This window comes from Homo sapiens, chromosome 1 (genome assembly GCF_000001405.40).
Source record: "Homo sapiens chromosome 1, GRCh38.p14 Primary Assembly".
In the NCBI taxonomy this organism is placed as follows: domain Eukaryota; kingdom Metazoa; phylum Chordata; class Mammalia; order Primates; family Hominidae; genus Homo; species Homo sapiens.
Window position 1 is genome coordinate 56,085,995 of NC_000001.11, and position 23,404 is coordinate 56,109,398.

General features: G+C 39.3%; 1 long non-coding RNA gene across 4 annotated transcripts in view; it reads right to left on the minus strand.

The window, feature by feature from the left end:
* The window catches only part of LOC105378741 (uncharacterized), a 74,511-nt gene that overhangs the window by 35,016 nt on the left and 16,091 nt on the right, over positions 1 to 23,404 (minus strand). For all 4 annotated transcript variants that reach the window (XR_001738064.2, XR_001738066.2, XR_001738065.2 and 1 more), the window contains exon 2: positions 12,737 to 12,839. This is a non-coding gene — a long non-coding RNA (uncharacterized LOC105378741). The remainder of the gene's footprint in view (positions 1 to 12,736; positions 12,840 to 23,404) is intronic.

Sequence of the window (23,404 nt, forward strand, 5' to 3'; positions counted from 1 at the left end):
TTATTAATTAAGACAGTCTGGTATTGATGCAGGCACAGATGAATCAACCATAGGATTACAATAGAGAATTCTAAAAAAGACCTCCACATATAGGAAAAATTGTTATCTCACTGAGAAGCCCCACAGATTATTTGAGAAAAGAGGATTTATTTATTAAATGGTTCTATGCCAATTGGATATCCAAAAAACGAATATGTATATATTTATATATATATATCAGAAAAACTTTAAGATGTATAGATTTTACAGAAAAATATATGAGAATGGGGTTAAAATGACTTATTAAGACACGCAAAAATGATAATATAAAACGAAAAAGTGATACCTTCAACTGTATTGAATTTGAAGACTTTTATTCATAAAGAAACCATAAAGACAGTGAAAAAATAAGCCAAAAACTAGAAGAAGGTATTTGTAACACTTTTAAGTGACAAAGGATTGTGTACAGTATGTAAAAGTAACTATTACAAATTAATAAGAAAAGTCAAATTACTCAAGAAAAATGGAAAATATGAATTGGCATTTCACAAAAAAATTACACACATATGGCAATTAAATATTTGAAAAGATGTTCAACATAGTAGTCTAGGAAATGAAAATTGGGATATGATTTTTATTCACCATATTAACAGAAAAATCATTTAAAAAATCATTAACAAAAAAATCATAATTAATTTTTATTCACCATATTAACAAAAAAAACAAATGACATTTGTTGTTGAGGATGTGAAGGGAATGTAAATAAGTACAATAATTAGTTGGCATTGTTTTATAAAATTAAATATTTACATACCCTATGACACAGAAGTTCCATTCCTGAAGATTTTTCTCCAGAGAAATGATACAAATGTGTATCAAGAGACATGCAAAAGAATTTTACAGCAACATTGCTTGTAATAGCAAAATAAATAAATAGGTAAAATTCCATTATGGTGTTCTGAGAAAACTGACTCCATAATTCTAAAACGTATTTGAAAGAACAATGGTCAAATAATAACTAAGATGCTTTCAAAGTGGGAGGATAATGGAATACTATGCAGTCATAAAAAGAAACAAGATCATGTCTTTTGCAGGGACATGGATGAATTTGGAATCCAGTATCCTCAGCAAACTAATGCAGGAACATAAAACCAAACAGTGCATGTTCTCACTTACAAGTGGGAGCCAGATGATGAGAACACATGAACACATGGGGGGAAACGACACACACTGGGGGCTGTCAGGGGTTGGGGAGGGAGAACATAGGAAGAATAGCTAATGGATGCTGGGCTTAATACCTAAGTGATGGGATGATCTGTGCAGAAAACCACCATGACACACATTTACCTATGTAACGAACATGCACAACTTGGACATGTACCCCTAAACTTAAAAGTTGAAGGACAAAGAAAAACAACAAAGTGGGAGTATATTCTCTATTTGTTATCATGACTAACATGATATTAATAACACATTATTATTATATAGGAAAATGATATTTGAATCATGGCATAGTTACACATTTAAATATTATAGAACAATAACTATAGCTACAGATTACTGCATAGATGTATCTTTTTTTTTTTTTTGAGACAGAGTTTCATTCTTGTTGCCCAGGCTGGAGTATAATGGTGTGATCTCGGCTCACTGTAACCTCTGCCTCCCAGGTTCAAGCGATTCTCCTGCCTCAGCCTCCTGAGTAGCTGGGATTACAGGCATGCACCACCACGCCTGGCTAATTTTGTATTTTAGTAGAGACAGGGTTTCTCCATGTTGGTCACGTTGGTCTCAAACTCCCAACCTCAGGTAATCCACCCGCCTTGGCCTCCCAAAGTGCTGTGATTACAGGCGTGAGCCACTGCACCCGGCCAGATGAATCTTAGTTGTAAAGTGAGTTTCCAATTATTATATTCAGTATTATAACAAAACTAATTTTGAAATATATAGTTTGAAGAATAAATACATGTGATAAAACTATGGGAAAAATGATAAATATAAAAATCAAAAGGGAGGTTGCCTATGAAAAGAAGACATGATAATAAGGAGAAGTGAAGAACACAGAAGTAGCTAGAGTATTAATAACATCTTACTTTTTACGTTTGGTAATTAGTTCTTAGGTGTTCATTTTATTATTTTACTTCATAGCTAGATTACAAATATCCTTATGTTCCACAGGTTATTGAGGCTCTTTTCATATTTTTGCAATCTTCTTTCCTCCCTGTAGTTATGACTGAATAATTTCTATTGACCTGCCTTCAAATTCAGTGACTCTTTCCTCTGTTCACTTCATTTTGCTAGGGAGACCATACAGTGAGTTATTTACTTCAGTTCTTAAATCTTTCAGTTCTAACATTTCAATTTGAATCTTTTTTTATAATTTTCTATTTCTCTCCTGAAAGCTTCCATCTTTTCATTTATTTCAACAGTATTCATCTTTACCTTCTAGAGAATGGTTGTAATAACTGCTTTAAAGTCTAGGTGTGATAATTCCAACATCTAGGTTATCTCAGGGTTGATACCTATTGATTTTATTTTCCCCTAAGGGGTAGGTATATTTTCCTGGTCCTTTGTATATAAAGTAATTTTGGATTACACCCTGAACATTTTGAATATTTTGTTGTAAGATCCTATATTTTCTAACAAATGTTGACTTGTTATTGTTGCCTTAGCAATTAAATCAGTTAGGTTCAGATCACACATTTTATCCCACTTGCTGTGGATTAGTTCCAACATAAGTTCAGTTTTCAGACTTTGTTTTACTTTATTTAGGTTTGTTCCATACACATCCATTTTGAGGGTAAGTTAGGGACTGTGTTAGTTCATACACAGACTTAGGGTTCCCTTCCAAGAACTCTTCCTCCAAGATTCCATCATACTTTTTGGTTCTCATGGGAACTAGAGAACTCCTTTTCTGAGTTCTTTGGCTAGAAATTCAGGATTCCTTTCAGTATTTTATCCCCCTATGTTGACAAACAATTATGTAATAACGGGCCAGTTATGGTGGCTCACACGTGTAATCCCACCACTTTAGGAGGTTGAGACAAGTGGATTGCCTGAGCTTAGGAGTTCAAGACTAGCCAGCACAACATGGCAAAACCCTGTCTCTACTAAAAATACAACAATTAGTTGGGCATGGTAGTGCTGCCTGTAATCCCAGGTACTCAGGAGGCTGAAGTGGGAGGATTGCTTGACCCTGGGAGGCAGAGGTTGCAGTGAGCTGAGCTTGTGCCACTGTACTCCAGCCTGGGCAATAGAGTGAGATCCTGTCCCCAAAAAAAAAAAAATTCAATACAAATGTGTCTACCATTGGGGCAAAGTACACTGAGAAAAGAAAGGGGATGGGCCAGGGACGGTGGCTCATGCCTTTAATCCCAGCACTTTGGGAGGCCATGGTGGGTGGATCGCCTGAGGTCAGGAGTTCAAGACCAGCCTGGCCAACATGGTGAAACCCCATCTCTGTAGAAATACAAAAATTAGCTGGGCATGCTGGTGGGCACCTGCAGTCTCAGCTACTTGGGAGGCTGAGGCAGGAGAATCACTTGAACCTGTGAAGCGGAGGTTGCTGTGAGCAGAGATCATGCTATTGCACTCCAACCTGGGTGACAGAGTGAGACTCTGTCTCAAAAAAAAAAAAAAAAAAAAACAGATACAAGAAAAAAAAGAGAGGGGAGGAGCCAAGATGGCCAAATAGGAACAGCTCCGGTCTACAGCTCCCAGCCTGAGCAACGCAGAAGACGGGTGATTTCTGCATTTCCATCTGAGGTACCAGGTTCATCTCACTAGGGAGTGCCAGGCAGTGGGCGCAGGTCAGTGGGTGCGCGCACCGTGCGCGAGCCGAAGCAGGCGAGGCATTGCCTCACTTGGGAAGTGCAAGGGGTCAGGGAGTTGCCTTTCCTAATCAAAGAAAGGGGTGACGGACGGCACCTGGAAAATCAGGAAAATCGGGTCACTCCCACCCGAATACTGCGCTTTTCCGACGGGCTTAAAAAACGGCGCACCACGAGATTATATCCCCGACCTGGCTTGGAGGGTCCTACCCCACGGAGTCTCGCTGATTGCTAGCACAGCAGTCTGAGATCAAATTGCAAGGCGGCAGAGAGGCTGGGGGAGGGGCGCCCACCATTGCCCAGGCTTGCTTAGGTAAACAAAGCAGCCGGGAAGCTCGAACTGGGTGGAGCCCACCACAGCTCAAGGAGGCCTGCCTGCCTCTGTAGGCTCCACCTCTGGGGGCAGGACACAGACAAACAAAAAGACAGCAGTAACCTCTGCAGACTTAAATGTCCCTGTCTGACAGCTTTGAAGAGAGCAGTGGTTCTCCCAGTACGCAGCTGGAGATCTGAGAACCGGCAGACTGCCTCCTCTAGTGGGTCCCTGACCCCTGACCCCTGAGCAGCCTAACTGGGAGGCACCCTCCAGCAGGGGCACACTGACACCTCACACTGCAGGGTACTCCAACAGACCTGCAGCTGAGGGTCCTGTCTGTTAGAAGGAAAACTAACAAACAGAAAGGACATCCACACCAAAAACCCATCTGTACATCACCAGCATCAAAGACCAAAAGTAGATAAAACCACAAAGATGGGGAAAAAACAGAACAGAAAAACTGGAAACTCTAAAAATCAAAGCACCTCTCCTCCTCCAAAGGAACACAGCTCCTCACCAGCAACAGAACAAAGCTGGACGGAGAATGACTTTGATGAGCTAAGAGAAGAAGTCTTCAGATGATCAAATTACTCTGAGCTACGGGAGGACATTCAAACCAAAGGCAAAGAAGTTGAAAACTTTGAAAAAAATTTAGAAGAATGTATAACTAGAATAACCAATACAGAGAAGTGCTTGAAGGAGCTGATGGAGCTGAAAACCAAGGCTCGAGAACTACGTGAAGAATGCAGAAGACTCAGGAGCCGATGTGATCAACTGGAAGAAAGGGTATCAGCAATGGAAGATGAAATGAATGAAATGAAGTGAGAAGGAAAGTTTAGAGAAAAAAAGAATAAAAAGAAATGAGCAAAGCCTCCAAGAAATATGGGACTATGTGAAAAGACCAAATCTACGTCTGATTGGTGTACCTGAAAGTGATGGGGAGAATGGAACCAAGTTGGAAAACACTCTGCAGGATATTATCCAAGAGAATTTCCCCAATCTAGCAAGGCAGGCCAACGTTCAGATTCAGGAAATACAGAGAACGCCACAAAGATACTCCTCGAGAAGAGCAACTCCAACACACATAATAGTCAGATTCATCAAAGTTGAAATGAAGGAAAAAATGTTAAGGGCAGCCAGAGAGAAAGGTCGGGTTACCCTCAAAGGGAAGCCCATCAGACTAACAGCGGATTTCTTGGCAGAAACCCTACAAGCCAGAAGAGAGTGGGGGCCAATATTCAACATTCTTAAAGAAAAGAATTTTCAACCCAGAATTTCATATCCAGCCAAACTAAGCTTCATAAGTGAAGGAGAAATAAAATACTTTACAGACAAGCAAATGCTCAGAGATTTTGTCACCACCAGGCCTGCCCTAAAAGAGCTCCTGAAGGAAGCGCTAAATATGGAAAGGAACAACCGGTACCAGCTGCTGCAAAATCGTGCCAAAATGTAAAGACCATCGAGACTAGGAAGAAACTGCATCAACTAACGAGCAAAATAACCAGCTAACATCATCATGACAGGATCAAATTCACACATAACAATATTAACTTTAAATGTAAATGGACTAAATGCTCCACTTAAAAGACACAGACTGGCAAATTGGATAAAGAGTCAAGACCCATCAGTGTGCTGTATTCAGGAAACCCATCTCAAGTGTAGAGACACACATAGGCTCAAAATAAAAGGATGGAGGAAGATCTACCAAGCAAATGGAAAACAAAAAAAGGCAGGGGTTACAATCCTAGTCTCTGATAAAACAGACTTTAAACCAACAAAGATCAAAAGAGACAAAGAAGGCCATTACATAATGGTAAAGGGATCCATTCATCAAGAAGAGCTAACTATCCTAAATATATATGCACCCAATACAGGAGCACCTAGATTCATAAAGCAAGTCCTGAGTGACCTACAAAGAGACTTAGACTCCCACACATTAATAATGGGAGACTTTAACACCCCACTATCAACATTAGACAGATCAACGAGACAGAAAGGATACCCAGGAATTGAACTCAGCTCTGCACCAAGTGGACCTAATAGACATCTACAGAACTCTCCACCCCAAATCAACAGAATATACATTTTTTTCAGCACCACACCACACCTATTCCAAAATTGACCACATACTGGAAGTCAGTGTGGTGATTCCTCAGGGATCTAGAACTAGAAATACCATTTGACCCAGCCATCCCATTACTGGGTATATACCCAAAGAGCTATAAATCATGCTGCTATAAAGACACATGCACACGTATGTTTATTGCGGCATTATTCACAATAGCAAAGACTTGGAACCAACCCAAATGTCCAACAATGATAGACTGGATTGAGAAAATGTGGCACATATACACCATGGAATACTATGCAGCCATAAAAAATGATGAGTTCATGTCCTTTGTAGGGACATGGATGAAATTGGAAACCATCATTCTCAGTAAACTATCGCAAGAACAAAAAACCAAACACCACATATTCTCACTCATAGGTGGGAATTGAACAATGAGATCACATGGACACAGGAAGGGGAACATCACACTCTGGGGACTGTTGGGGGGTGGGGGGAGTGGGGAGGGATAGCATTGGGAGATACACCTAATGCTAGATGACGAGTTAGTGGGTGCAGCACACCAGCATGGCACATGTATATGTATGTAACTAACCTGCACAATGTACACATGTACCCTAAAACTTAAAGTATAATAATAAAAAAAAAAAAGAAAAAAAAAAAAGAAAACCACTTCAAAATAAATAAATAAATAAATAAATAAATAAATAAATAAAAATAAAATGCAAAAAAAAAAAAAAGAAAAAAGAAAAAAAAGAAAAAGAAAAAGAAAACAAAAGAAAGAGGATGGAGAAACAGGGATTTCCCCTACATTCTTCAGGCTGGAGGAGTCTTTTACTCAGTTAATTAGGCCAGAGAAACAGGCTATCTCCTTGGAACTTAGAGGCCCACACCACAATCCCCCAACTGCCATGCAGCTTCCCAAATGGGGCTGGAGCTAGGGAAATGCCAGGAAAAAAAAAGGAATGAAAAAAAGAAAAACAAATGAACAACAGGGATTTCTTCCCATACTCTCCAGCTCATGGAAAGTCCCTATGCCCAGTCCTTTGGCTAGAAAGTGGGAGATCCCTTTCAGAGATTTTCCAACACTTAGCACATTTTAATTATTTCATTTTTATTTAGAATGACTTAGTTCTGTCCTACTTCCTGCATAATGAGCCTCATGCAAGCATGTGTGTGTGTTATGTCACAATTGTGTCATCCCACACAGTTGGTAGTCAAGATATATTTGCTGACAGATTGCATAGTATCTGACACTTAGTTGCTATACAAAGTGCTATCTGGGCTCTGCCGATAACCCCTTGCCTTTATTTTAGTGCACACTAACCTGACCTCCAATTGCAAGCTTGTGAATTTCTCTGCCTGAGGTCTTTCTCAGGCAACTGAAGCATGCTTTGTCTGCATCTGCAGCAGGTTAGTGCCAGAAAGTTAACATCTGCTGAAAAAAAGACCTCAACCGATGACTAAAGGAGTTGGTTTATAAATACCCCAGCCCATTTCCCCTCAGGTAAGTTAATTCTGTGCACTGGTTTTCAGAATTTTTCCAACAGCGTTTAGTTCCAGTTGTCCACAGTAGTAGTAGGTTTGAAAATGCACAATTTGTTGGCTATTTCCCTTCTTTGACTCACTTTACCAATTCTATTTTGGTATTTCCTTATCCTCTTAAATAAACTACTTTTACCTAAATCCTTGCTTTTAGGGGTCTACTTCTGAGGTCACCCAAAATAAGGTATCTACATACTCTACATACCTAGGAATGGGGGTTTTATTAAGATCTTTTCTTGTAGCTGGTAGATGGACAGAGCACTGGACTTCAAGTCAGGAGGTCCTAGTTTATCCATTTGTCAGCTAGGTAACCTTGAACAAATTCCTCAATTTTTCTGAGGCGCAGATTTCCTCATTTGAAATGTAGAGTTAATAAAATCTACCTCATAATGTTCTTGCGAGGATTAAATAAAATAACGTAATATATGAGAAAATAACGTAATATATGAGAAAATACCTATTCTGGAAGCCGGCACATAGTGCATCCGTGTATGCTAGTTCAGTGTAAGTATAAAGAATTCTTTCTTGTGCTGTGAACTATCATGCCTATTTTATTTTCTTCCCGATGGGAAGTGGGGGTTGTATTCACATGTTGTGTCAACATCAGGAATTGCTAATGGTGGGGAAATGTTGGAGAGATTGTATTGTTTCATCTTGAGGAGCATGCTTCTAATTAGCAAGAGAGCCTGTTTTATTTCAACATAAATGGGCAATGGCTAAGCAGATGGTCCCACTATTCCTGAGTCCCAGTGTGCTCCAGAGGAAATGTACAACAAACACTTCAGAGTGAGTGCATTGTTTTTTAATTTATATGAAGCTCTCTTTTATTTGAAAATTGTTTCATGAAGTTTTCATTACTTCACAGACTTTTGGACCTTAAAGAGACCCTAGTGATCAGTAGGAATAACTCCCTATTGTTTTATAGTTAAGGAATCAGAGGCTCTATTGCCTCCCCTCCCCAAAAGCATTTCAGGAACAATGACAACTATCTTCAACTATTTAAAAGATTAATAAATAAGAGATCAATAAGTCTTATGAAACTGACTTCAGAAATTAATGGAGATGGGTCATTTTGAATTCCACTTGAGGGGGAAGATTTTATCAACTAGAGCTGTCCAACAACCAAGGAGATAGCTGGATGTGAAAAGTCTGCCATCACTGGATGTATGTAAGAGGACACTGAACCTGTGGGGCATTCTAGAAGGGATTCCTGCTCTGTGGGAGGGAAACTTAACTAGGCACCAGAGTCCCTTGCGAGTTTATAATTTGACAGTTCTGGGTTTCTTATAGCAAATACCTTGCACAGTACAGAATGCATAATATATGCACAGCAAAAACATGACGATTATTACCAAACATTCTGTGCCCACTAAAGTTGCCATAGAGATAATTAATTCTCTTCTTACTTCTATGAGTGTCTTCTTTCTTCATATTGACACTCCATTCATTTTATTTCTCCCTGCCTGCAGTAGCCCAGGGGATGTAACAGCCCTGTTTCCAAGCATGCGGGAACCCCCAGTGTTTGACACAAGGGGGGCTTCTAGGAGGCCAGGCTTGGCAATGGGGAAGAATATGGCTGTAGAAGCCATGGAGGGGCACGGCTTGGACCATCCTTCAAGAAACAACTTGCCGTAGGTGCAAGGAGTACAGTGAGCTGACTCCTCCAGATACTAGCTCCTTTAGGACTCATCTCGGCTTTCTTGCCGAGGTCTCAGAAGTCCCAGATAGCCCCTTGCTAATGGCTGAGCATGGTAAAAATGCCAAGTGGCCATTTCAGCATGAATTAGGACTCCTCTTTCAGCTTATCTTTGCTCTGTGGCTGACTGTTGCATCAGTGCTCTTATCAAACCTGCATCATGATCTGAGGTTTCTTCAACCCAATCTTGACTCTCATCTGTCTTTCCCAGGTATTGGATCTACATCATGGTCTGCAGGTGTTCCCTGCCCCATCCTGCTTCTTTTCCTGTTGCCTTTCATAGTACCTTCAGCAGAGCCCTTATATAGTACCCCTAACTCCATCTCAACCTCTGCTGTCAGAAGGACCAGTTGACTCCATGGCCGACCTGGCAGTTGTGGAGCCCATGATAAAGGGAACAGAAGACCACATCCCAAAAGTAGGAGAATCTGAATCATCAGCATGATTGAGAAAACAAGAAAGGGAATTGAAGAACAGGAAGTACAAGGAAAAGTCAGAAGGCAAGAGCGTGGGGTTTGGAGGCAGGTTCCTTGAAGAAAATATTCTAGAATGGGGAATCATTTCCATAAAGACTCCCAGCCACACACTAGGGCCAATGTTCCTCAGACAGAAGACACTTAATGTTTTATCTAATGGGGACCAGGAAAAGGGAGAGAAACTGCCTATGCTCTGTCCATTGACACTGGCTGTTGCATTGCACAATATAGCAGCATCAGCAACAGGATTTACAAACGTGGAAGTGCCAGCTTTTTCGGGGCAGATAATAATAACACCTAATATTTTATTGCATGAATGGTATGCATCAGGTCCTATTTACTGCTGTTAGTTCATTTATCATTTAACAGTTTCTGAGGGTCAGAAATCTGAGAGTAGCTTGCTGGACTGGGTTTTTCATGAGGTTGTAGCCAGGGCTACAGTCATTTTAAAGCTTACCTCAGGATGGAGGAACAAAATCCAAGTCACATGTGGTTTTTGGCAGGCCTCAGTTTCTCACCATGTGGGCCTCTCCATGGGGATGCTTGACATAGCAGCCGGCTTCCCACAAAGTGAGTAACCCAAGACAGAGACAGCACTCAAGGCAGAAGCCACAATGTTTCCTAACTTCCTTCATCTCAGAAGTGGAATTCCCTTATTTACAGCATATCCTATTGTCAGAGACAAACCCTGGTACAGTATGGGAGAGCACTACACCAGGGTGAGAATACCAGGAGGGCAGGATCTATGAGACCATCTTGCAGGCTGGCTACCAGAACCTTTAAAGGAACAATATGAAGTAGGTGTTTTACCACGGAGGAAAGTGAGGCTCAGAGAAACTGCAATACCAGTGGAAAGTCCAGGTTTGAACTGAGAGTCTATGTTCCTAACCACTATGCTATACTGCCTCTCCAAACAGAGGAGTAGAAGATAGGGAAGAAAGAAGATGAATACGGTTGAACTTGATCATTGTGGGTAGTTAAGCAAGGAATGTCATAAACAATGATAATTTGTATAGACATGTACAGCTTAACAGAACAATTCCTCATTATCAAGGGTAATCTTTACATCAAACCTATAAAGAAGGAATTATTTCCCCATTTTCCAGATGACAAAAACTCAGAAAGACTAAGTGCCTCCCCATAGTTACACAATTAATCAATTAATACACAGTGGAGTTCAACTCAGATCTTCATTTCTAAGTACAGGATTCTACACTGTATATCAGCTATTCTTTCCACTAAAAAACCAAGGACAAATTGGTGTTTTCAATTCTCTAGCAATAGAAAATAAGGTAACAAAATTGGGGAGGAGCACCAAGAAATTTGTTAGCTACATGTGAAGTAGAGGAAGCCTGCTCTGAAGAATGGAATTGGTTGGAATTTTTTCAGTGTTTCTTAAATATAATATACATACAGAAAAGCATACATATCACAAGCATTTGCCTTATTGAACTTTTATAAATGAACAAGCCAAATGAAGAAATAGACATTACCATTCACTCCAGAATCTCTTTCATTCCCATTTTTTGTTACTACCCCCTACTCAGTAAACACTATGGTGACTTATAAAACCATAGATTAGTTTCCATGTTTTCGAAGTTTATATAAATTGAATCATACAAAAAAGTATATGATTCCATTTATATAAACAGCTTCTTTGACTTAATGTTATATCCATGAAATTTATCCATACTGTTGTGTACACTTGTATTTTTTCATTCTCAGTGTTGTATAGTATTCCACTGTGTGAAGGTACAATTTATTTATCCACTGTACAAAGGGTTAGGAAACTACAATTCATGGGCCAAATTTGGCCCGGCTCTTATTTCTGTACAGCCTGAAAGCTAAGAATGTTTTCTACATTTTTAAATGTTTTAAAAAATCAAAAGAGTGATATTTCATGGCACATGATAATTATATGAAATTTAAATTTCAGTGTCTATAAATAACTTTATGGAACATATCATGCTTACTCATTCTCATATTATCTGTGGTTGCTTTCACGTTACAATGGTAGAGTGAAGTAGTTACAACAGAGACCATCTGTAGTACTATTGCTTTGCACTGTTGCTTGGGGCACCAGAAATATTAATGATGCACTTATAATTCAGTTTTGCCTCTTGGACTGAAAATTTACCATCTGGCTCTTTACAGAAAATGTTTGCTGATACCTGCCTTATATTATTGATGGGCATTAGGGCAATTTCTAGTTATATGCTATTATGAATAGTGCTGCTTTGAACATTCTATTTCATGTTTTTGGTGAACTTACATAAGCAGTTATTTTGGGTGCATATCTAGGAGTGGAATTGCTAAGTACTAGGATACGTTCAGCTTAGTCGGTACTGCCAAAGTGAGTTGTACCAATTTCACATTCTAACCAGCAATGTATGAGAACTTTACTTGCTCCATATTCTCACCAATGGTATGTATTTTATGTTTATTTCATTTAATCATCTGGTGAATGTGTAGTGGTAATGCAAGAATGGTTTTGTAATGATAATTACAACAACTTTTTTTCTAGGCTCTGATAATAGTCTCACTTACATTACGGCTTTATAGACAAGTCTATTTGATAGCCATGAAAATAGTAGTCAGCAGAGTTAAGGAATTTTTAGGTCACACAGCTATTAAGTAGCAGGACAAGGATTTGATTGGCTTTATAGCCTATGTCCTTTCTATTACACTAAACTGCCTCTCCATATGACAATTTAAAGAAACATTACACCCTTGGAAAGTATCAGCAATAGTAGTGTGTTTAGCATTCAAACGTTTGTTAGAAAAAAAGAGAGTGGTGGTTTATGAAAAGTAGGTACAGGGCGAGCATACCTTCATTTCTGCTACTTTCTGCTGCAGTGGTTAACTGTGTGCCTTCTGCCTCCCCTCAGTCCTCTGGCTGGTTATGTTTATTACATGTTCTGACAGTTGAGGCCTGTGGTGAAAAATGATAACAGATTTGTATTCTCAAGATCATCTCCAGATGCTGACTAGAAGCACCTCTGGATTCATGATATATTTATCTTTAGTATTTCTTGAAGATGAATGATTGAAAAAAAAGTTCTAGGAGCACTTCAGCATAAATCACAGAGAATTCCTTTCTGTGGCAATATGGAATGTGTTTCTCTATTTCTTTAAGAAGAATAATGTGTGTATTAATAACTTGGTTGGAATGGGGACTGGGCCAAGATGAGATGATCACGCAAATCATTATTGATGGTTTCTCGTAGCCAAGCAATCTGTTCCCTCAAACCTGGAGTTTGTCATCTGTAGGGGAATAACTGCTGAAAGGCCACATCTGAGTCACTTGCATGAGTCCTCTCCTCTCCATTCATCCCAACTGCTACTTTTCCCAACCAGTTTTAAAGTATTTTTTTTAGTCTAAATTGCAAAACTCTCACATCAGTTTTAACTTCCTCTCCTATTCAAATTGATCCTATTCTCCTATTCTCTCCTATTCAAATTGACCCTAGAATTGTCCTGTTGATCTGTTTATGCTGTTGCCTTGATCAAATACTTCCAGAGACTCTTTATTGCCTATATCAGTGCTGTACAATCATTTTTGATTCTACACTACTACCTGTGAAAATTACATCTATGAATTTACATAAAAATTATAATGTATATATGAGGCATTTATGAATTTGTATTTTTATATAAAAATATGAAAATGTACAGTTTTTAAAGGATGAGGTAGCATATATCAAGGGTCAGCAAACTTTGTCTTAAAAAAATAACAGATAGTACAGATTTTAGGCTTTTGTGGGCGATAAGGCTCTATCATATCTTCTCAACTCTGCCATTATAGTGCAAAAGCAGCCATAGACACTATGCAAACAAATGGGTATGAATGTGCTCTAATAAAACTTTATTAATAAAATGACCAAATTTGGTCCTCAGTCCATATTTTGTGGATACCTGATATATATCTTTAGCTACTTCAGATGTGGCCAAGGTCAAACTGGTCCCAGGAACTCAAATACTCCTGACTTTCCTCTCCAACTCTGCTGTGCATGTCTATGTGGTTATCCCTGCAGCTGAAGCCTGGCTTCCTCTGCTCCACAGATTACCACACAGTAAAAGCTGGCTGGCAGCAGGTCTCAACTTTGATGTTACAATCCAGGCACACACCAAGAGCCCTGTTCAACTCTCTTAGTTCTAGATGGAATTTCCCAGAAAAAAACTTATTTGCCCAACTTAGTGTGCCCTTGCCATTTCAGTAACATTATATCACATGGCGATTTTTACTACAACCACTCAGATGGAGAGAAAGGGAACAATTCCTTCAGAAGGCATGACAGGCAAACAACTTTCTCAGTATCTTCTACCATAAGGAGCAGCACAAAGAGAGAAATAATTAATCATCACAATAGTTAGGATCATTTTCATAAAGAGAAGCAACTGTAGTTACAGAAAGCATATGAGAGATAAGTTGTCTTATATTGCTAAGCACTTATTGTGCATAGAACTATGCAAACAAACGGGTTATGACTGTGTTCTATGTGGTAGTTTCTTTAAATCAATGAGTGGTTTTCAAATAACTTTTAGCATCTATGCCAGAAAGAATGTATTATGTTATACTGTGGTAACAAACAACTCTAAAATCTCAGTGGCTTCAGAAAGCAAAGATGAACTTCTTGTTCATACTACCTGTCTATTACAAGTTGACCAAGGGCTCTTCTCCCCTTTCTCCATCAGGAATACACGTGAACTGAACATCCCCCAACTGTCTCCCACAGCAGGAAGAAAAGAAAGGGGTGAATCATGCAATAGTCTTTAAAGGTTTCTTCTTGAAAGTGACACACATTGCGTTCACTCATATTTAATTTGCCTAATCACTTAACTTTAAAAAGGTTAAATGAGTAATTAAGCGATGTGCTTGGATTGTATTACTGGTACCAATTACATGCTGCTCTCCTGCAATAGGACTGTGTATCTTTACCATACATTGTGTGGTATACATGACTGTGGGATAAGTACATGTTCCCATTTCATCAATATTATGTTTGGCCATATGGCTTGCTTTGGCCAATTAAATGTAATCAGAAGTGATATGTGTTACATTTGAGCAAAGAATGTAAAGCCATCATATGGTTCTGTCATTGTTCTTTTCCCTGATAAAAAAATGATATGTCCCAAATAAGGGCTGTTCAGGCAGGCTCTGTTCTAGAACGAAGGAGATACATAAAGTGAAGCCATGTCTACCTACAGTCAACATGTCAACTACATGAGAAACGAACTTTTGTTCTTATAAACTACTGAAGGTTTGGAGTCTTTTGTTGTAGCAGTATAACCCAGAAGAAGGTGACTACTACAGAGAAGAACCAGAGATATCAATAAATAGCTCTAATGACTAACACAACCAGCCTTTATAATGACAGAATTTTTACTTGCTTGCTGCTGTGCACACATTATACGCACACACCCGTCTTCAAGGAGTCACCCCAAAAGTCTGTCCAACCACTATATCCAACACAAAGTTCAAGTTATCTGGATGTGTTCATTTGCTGAGGCTGCCATAACAAATACCACAGACTGGGTGACCTAAACAACAGAAGTATATTTTTCACAGTTCTGGAAGCACAGTTTTGGAAGTCCAAGATGGAGATATTGGCAGGATATTCTTCCAAGGGCCCTCTCCTTGGATTGTAAATAGCTGTCTTTTCTCCCTTGTCTTCACACAGTCCTGCCTCTATGCCTGACTGTGTCCTAATCTTCTCTTCTTATAAGGACAACAGTCATGATGAATTAGGGACAACCTATATGATACTATTTTACCTTAATTTTCTCTTTATTTAAAGGCCCTATCTCCAAATGCAGTTACATTCTGAGACATTGGGGGTTAGGACTTCAACGTTTGATTTTTGGAGGAGGGACAATTCAGCTCAAATACTGGGCTATATGCAGCAATCTTTTTATCAGAGCATTTGTGCAAAGTTGTTTTTTTATCAGGTCCAGAATTGGTTTCTCTTGATCTGGAGACCTTTGTACTAAAAAGATAAATCATCTGTGCCCTACACACCCAATATACAAGAGAACAGAAAAGCCACAATAAATAACTTCATTAGAAAGATAAACTACAGGAGACACATAGCAGAAACTGTTCAATAGTAAATCGGAAATCCTAACAGGCAGAAATCTTGAAGGTCCCCTACTTAAGAGTAGAGAATGTGCCTAAGTAAAGCCTGACTACACACTCAGGGAGTATCATCTCTCTACTTTTATCTCCATTATCTTTGGCTCTGACCTCTGGAGACCGTATCTTTTTCATTACAGGCATACCACAGGGATGTTGTGGATTCAGTTCCAGACCACCACAACAAAGCAGATATCACAATAAAGCAAGTCACACAAAGGTTTTGGTTTACCAATGCATATACAAGTTATGTTTACACTACACAGGAGTCTATTTGGCATGCAATAACACCATGTCAAAAAAAGTACATATGATAATTTTTTAAATTGTGCTGCTAAAAATTGTTAATGATCATTTGAGCCTTCAGCAAATCCTAATCTTTTTGCTCATGGAAAGTTTTGCCCATGTTGATGGCTGTTGGCTGATCAGGGTGTGGTTGCTGAAGGTTGGGGTGGCTGTGGCAATTTCTTAAAATAGGACAACAATGAAGTTTGCTCCATTGCTTTACTTCCTTTCATGAAAGATTTGTCTGTAGCATGCAATGCTGTTTGATAGCAAATTTTAAAATGTTTATTTTTTAATTGACACATAATATTTGTACACATTTATGAGGTACATAGTGATATTTTGATACATACAATATATAGTGGTCAGATCAGGGTAATTAGCATACCGATAATCTCAAACATTTATCATTTCTTTGTATTGGAAACATTCAATATCCTCTCTTCTTGCCATTTGAAAATTTAATGTGCTGTTAACTATAGTAATCCTACAATGCTATAAAACAATAGAACACATTCCTCCTATCTGGCTGTAATTTGTTTCCATTAACATATCTTTGTTTCCCCCCTTTTCCCTACCCTTCCCAGCCTCTAGTAACCTCTATTCTCTTTATTTCTATGGGATTTTTATCTTCCCCACGTGAAGGAAAACATGCGATGTTCAACTTTCTCCTTCTGGCTTATTTCACTTTATATAATGTCCTTCAGGCTCATCTATGTTGCCACGAATGACAGGATTTCATTCTTTTTTTATGGATAAATAGTATTCCATGCTGTATATATGCCACATTTTCCTTATCCATTCATCTGTTGTTGGACACTTGGGTTGATTCCATATCTTGGCTATTGTGAATAGTGCTGCAATAAACATTGGGGTGTAGATATCTCTGTGATATACTGGTTTCCCTTTTTTTTTTAGATATCTACCTAGTGGGATTGCTAGATCATATGGTAGTTCTATTTGTAGTTTTTTGAGGAAGCTTTATGCTCTTTTCCATTGTGGCTGTACTCTTCCACATTCCTACCAACAGCATGTAAGAGTGCCCTTTTCCTTACAACCTCAACAGTATTTGTGATTTCTCTTTTTGTTAATAGCCACTTTAACTGAGGTGAGATTATACCTTATTGTGGCTTTGATTTTCATTTTCTTTGTGATTAGTGATGTTGAGGATTTATTCATATATTTGTTGGCTATTTGTATATCTTCTTGTTAGAAATGTTTATTCAGATCATTTGCTAATTTTTTAATTGAATTGTTTGATTTCATTGCTTTTGAGATGTTTGAGTTTCTTGTATATTCTGGATGTGAAGCCTTGTCACAGGAATAGTTTATAAATATTTTCTTTCATTCTGTACATTGCCTTTTCACTGTGTCAATTGTTCTCTTTATTGTGCAGAAGCTTTTTGGTTTGATGTAATCCCATTTATTTTTGTTTTTGTTGCCTGCGTGTTTGAGCTCTTATTCATAAAATCACTTCTCAGACTAATGTCCTGGATAGTTTTCCCTGTTGCTTCTAGTAATGTTATAGTTTCAAGTCTCATACTTAGAATTTTAATCTATTTTGAGTTGATTTTTATATAGAGTGAGAGATAAATGCCCTTCAAAATTGGAATCAATCCTCTCAAACCCTACTGCTGCTTTATTAATTAAGTTTATGTAATATTCTATTTGTTGTCTTTTAAACAATGTTCATGGTATCTTCACTAGGAGTAGATTTCATCTCAAGAAACTACATTATTTGCTCATCCGTAAGAAGCAACTCCTCATCTGTTCAAATTTTATCATGAGATTACAGAAATTCAGTCTCATCTTCTGGCTCTACTTCTAATTCTTATTCTCTTGCGATTTCTAGCATATTTGCAGTTACTTCCTCCACTGAAGTCTTGAACCCTTCAAAGTCAATCATGATGGCTTGAATCAACTCCTTCCAAACTCCTGTTAATGGTGACATCTTAACCTCTTCCCATGTTCTTAATGGCAACTAGATGATAAACCCTTCCCAGAAGGTTTTCAATTGACATTTCCCAGATACATCAGAGGAATCACTATCTATGGCAGCCATAGCCCTTTGAAATTTATTTCTCAAATAATAAGACTTGAAAGTCAAAATTACTCCTTGAGCCATGGACTGTAGAATGGATGTTGTGATAGCAGGCATGGAAACAACACTTTTCTCCTTTTACATATTCATTGGAGTTATTGGGTGACTATGTGTGTCAATGAACAGTAATATTTTTAAAGTATTTTTTTCTGAGCAGTAGGTCTCAATAATGGCATTAAAATATTCAGTAAACCATACTATAAACAGATGTGCTATTATCCACACTTTTTTGTTACATTTCTAGAGCACAGACAAAGTAAAGTTAGCATAATTTTGAAAGGCCATAGGATTTTCAAAATGGCAAATGAGCAATGGCTTTAATTTAAAGTTTCCATGTGCAGTAGCCTTTGACAAGAGGGTCAGCCTCTCCTTTGAAGCTTTGAAGCCAGGCATTGACTTTTTCTCTCTAGCTATGAAAGATGGTATCTTCATCCAATAAAGCTGTTTTAATCTACATTGAAAATCAATTGTTTAGTGTAGCCACCTTCATCAATAATCTTAGCTAGATCTTCTGGATAACTTGCTGCAGCTTCTACATCAGCACTTGATGCTTCACCTTGCCCTTTTATATATGAAGATGGCTTCGTTCTTAAACCTCATGATCCAACCTCTGCTAGCTTCCAACTTTTCTTTGCAGCTTCCTTACCTCTCTCAGACTTTACAAAATTAAAGAAAGTTAGGGCCTTGCTCTGGATTAGGCTTAGACTTAAAGGAATGTTGTGGCTGGTTTGATCTTCTATCTAGATCACTCAAATTTTCTCCATATCAGCAACAAGGTCATTTCACTTTCCTATCATTTGTGTGTTCACTGGAGGAGAACTTTTCATTTCCTTCAAGAACTTTTTCTTTGCATTCACAACTTGGCTAAACATTTGGCAGAAGGTGCCTAGTATTCAGCTTATCTTGGCCTTTAACATGGTTTCCTCACTAAACTTAATTATTTCTAGCTTTTGATTTAAAGTGAGAAACATTAGGCTCTTTTTTTCACTTGAACACTTAGAAGCCATTATAAGGTTATTAAATGGTCTAATTTCAACGTTTCCTCTTAGAGAATAGGGATACCTGAGGAAAGGAAAAGAGACAGAGGAACAGGTGGTTGGTGGAGCAGTCAGAACACACACATTTATTGATTAACATCACCGTCTTATATGGGTATGGTTTGTGGTGACCCACAACAATCCCAATAGTAACATCAAAGGATCACTGATCACAGGGAGATTGAGTGACTTCTGTCCTGGTGAGGTAACAACAGAAAGAATCCCCTCCACCAAGAAGGCTGCCCTTCCCAAATCCTCCTCAAATTGGCCTGCGTGGTAGTCTCCCAAGATATTTCTTTTCCTCCTTAGTGATATACAACTTTTGTTCATTTTGGTCATAGGAGAAATTCCAAGAAATAAGAGAGGTAAGTTGAAGTGACTGACAAAGGATGGAATGCCACAGCTGTTGAGGTTGAGAGGTAGGCTCAGCAGTCCACCCTTGTGTGATCTTGAGCAAGCTCAGTGACCTCAGAGCCTATGTTTCTCACTGGTTAAATGAATATAACACAGGTGGCTGGGGAAAATTGTGGACAGGTGACAGGACTAACGTGCAGCTCCCACTTGGATGGACAGAACAGTGTGTGGAGACTCACACTGTGAAGTTTTGCTCCAAGAACCACTGCAGGGACATACCAGGAAAACCAAAAGAATTCACAGACCCTTTGAAAGAAGCAGTTTGCCACTATGAACTCCCGAGACAGCTGAAAACCTGTGAGTTCCCAAAGTGTGAGGGGGGGAAAAGTCCACTTTGAATTCTTATCCCCATTGAGGAAAATGGAAATCCAGATCATAGGAGAAGAATTTAACCTTACCTAAAGCTGAAATGGATATAGGGAGCCAAGTGAAATATAAAAGCAGAAGCAGCAGAAGGAAGAGCCCTGTAGGCACTCCTGGTCATCAGCTCGAGCCCAGGAAAGCCATCCCTGGCTTTATTACCTCAAAGGGGTCCTTGGAGAAAGCAGCCAGTGAAATTGGGCAGGGGCCACAAGGTGAAGGAAGCTTCTAGTTTATTACAATTAAATTTTGTAATAACTTTGACTGAGCATGAATTTTCCTGAGTAGAATCTGGGTTTGAGGGGGGCAGACAGGAAGTGCAGATACAAGCACAGAAGTGACAGTTGATGGTGAGGGCAGGTGGGGAAAGGAGAGGACTGAGAGCCCTGCTTGCTTTCTCAGAAGGGAGGCTTGTAGCCTTGGGCAAAATATCAGCCCTGCTCACAGGCTGCCTGGATATAAACTTGGTGCTGTTAGTGGGGCACAGTGAGAGTGAGACTGGCCTTGCTGGCTGCGTGGGAACTAAGTGAGGCCTGTCACTGCCGGCTTTTCCCCACTTCCCTGGTGACCTGTATGACATAGCAGAGGCAGCCATAATCCCCCTGGGAACATAACTCCATTGGCCTGAGAACCAACACCCATCCCCCACAGTGGCCACATCAAGCCCTGCTCAAGGAAAGTCTGAGCTCAGACCTGCTTAACCCTGTCCCCAACTGATGGTTTTTCTCTACCTGCCCTGGTAGGCAAAGCAAAAGACATGAACACTTGGGAACTCTATGGCCCTGCCAATTGCCTGAGAAACCCAAGTACTTATCCTGGCCAATGTAGGACAAGCTTATATCCCCCTTCTATTACCACAGTTGGTGCTCTCTTCAAAGTGCCACCTCCTGGCTGGAGGCCAACTAACTCAAGCCATTACAGCAACTCAAAACAGAACAACTCTGCTACAAATAAGGAAAAAACAACAGTTAATTCTACTGCCTGCAACACCATGGCTAATCAGAGGTCCTGAGTCTATCTGTGTGACAACTTCACTGCTAGCATAACCAGCATTCAAGAAAACCAGTGCACTAAACAAAACTACAACCAAGGACTCCCACAGAGTCCACTTCACTCCCCTGCCACCTGCACTAGAGCAGGTGGGGGTATTCATGGCTGGGAGACCTGAAGACAGATCACATCAGAGGACTCTTTGCAGACATTCTCCAGCATCAGCCAGGAGCCCAGGAGCCCCAGTGGGTAGCTAGACTCAGAAAGATAAAAACAATTGCTACACTCTGGCTCTCAGGAAACCTGGTCATGAAGGGAAGGAGGAGAGCACCACATCAAGGGATCACCCCATGGGACAAAAGAATCTGAATGGCAGTCCTTGAGTTTTAGATCTTTCCACTAAAACTGTCTACCCAAATGAGAAAAAATCAGAAAAGTAATTCTGGTAATATGAGAAAACAAGGTTCTATAAAACCCTCAAAAATCACACTAGCTCTCCATCAGTGGATCCCAACCAAGAAGAAATCTCTGAATTGCCAGATAAAGATTCATAAGGTTGATTATTAAGCTACTCAAAGAGGTACCAGAGAAAGGTGAAAACCAACTTAAAGAAATAAAAAAAATACATGATATGGATGAAAATGTCTCCAGAGAAATAGATATCACAATGAAAAGACAATTGCAACTTCTGGAAATGATAAATTCACTTAGATAAATGCAAAATACACTGGAAAGTTTCAACAATAGAATTGAACAAGTAGAAGAAAGAACATCAGAGCTCAAAGACAAGGCTTTTGAAGTAACCAAATCTGCCAGAGACAAAGAAAAAAGAATTTTCAAGAAATGAACAAGGCTCCAATAAATTAGAGATTATGGTAAATGACCAAGCATAAGAATAATTGGTGTTCCTCAGGAAGAAGAGAACTCTAAAGTTTGGAAAACTTATTTGAGGGAATAATTGAGGAAAATTCCTTGCTCTTGTTAGAGATCTAGACATCCAAATACAAGAAGCTCAAAGAACATCTGGGAAATTCATCACAAAGAGATCATTGCCTAGGCACATACTCATCAGGTTATTTAAACTCAAGACGAAGGAAAGAATCTTAAGAGCTGGGAGGCAAAAAGGAAAACCTATCAGAGTAAGAGCAAATGTCCCAACAGATACCCTACAAGATAGAAGGGATTGGAGTCCTATTTTTAGCCTCTTTGACAAGATAATTATCAGTCAAGAATTTTGTATCCAGTGAAACTAAGCTTCATAAATGAAGGAGAGACGAAGTCTTTTTCAGACAAGCAAATGCTGAGAGAATTTACCACTACCAAGCAAACACTACAAGTAATGCTAAAAGAAATTTGTTTCTAAATCTTGAAACAAAACCTCAAAATATACAAAAATAGAGCCTCCTGAAAGCATAAATCTCACAGGGCCTATAAAACTATAACACACACACACGCGCGCTCGTGCACACACACACACACGCACAAAAAGGTGACCAGGCAACAACTAGCATAATGAATAGAACAGTACCGTACATATCAATACTAACATGGAAAGTAAATGGTCTAAATGCACCACTTAAAAGATACAGAATGGGCCCAGCACAGTGGCTCATGCCTGTAATCCCAGACTTTGGGAGGCCAAGGCGGGCGGATCACAAGGTCAGGTGATCAAGACCATCCTGGCTAACATGGTGAAACTCCGTCCCTACTAAAAATACAAAAAGACTTAGCCGGGCATGGTGGCACATGCCTGGAGTCCCAGCTACTTGAGAGGCTGAGGCAGGAGAATCCCATGAACCCAGGAGACGGAGGTTGCAGTGAGCCAAGATTGCACCACTGCACTCCAGCCTGGGTGACAGAGCGAGACTCCATCTCAAAAAAAAAAAAAAAAAAAAAAAAAAAAAAGATATGGAAAGCCAGAATGGATAGAAATCAAACAACCAAGTATCTGTTGTCTTCAAGAGACTTACCTAACACATAAGGACTCACATAAACTTCAGGTAAAGAGATGGAAAAAGATATTCCATGCAAATGGAAACCAAAAGCAAGCAGGAGTAGCTACTCTTATATCAGACAGACTTTAAAGCAACAGCAGTTAGGCCAGGCATGGTGGCTCACACCTGTAATCCCAGCACTTTGGGAGGCCAAGGCAGGCAGATCATGAGTTCAGGAGATCA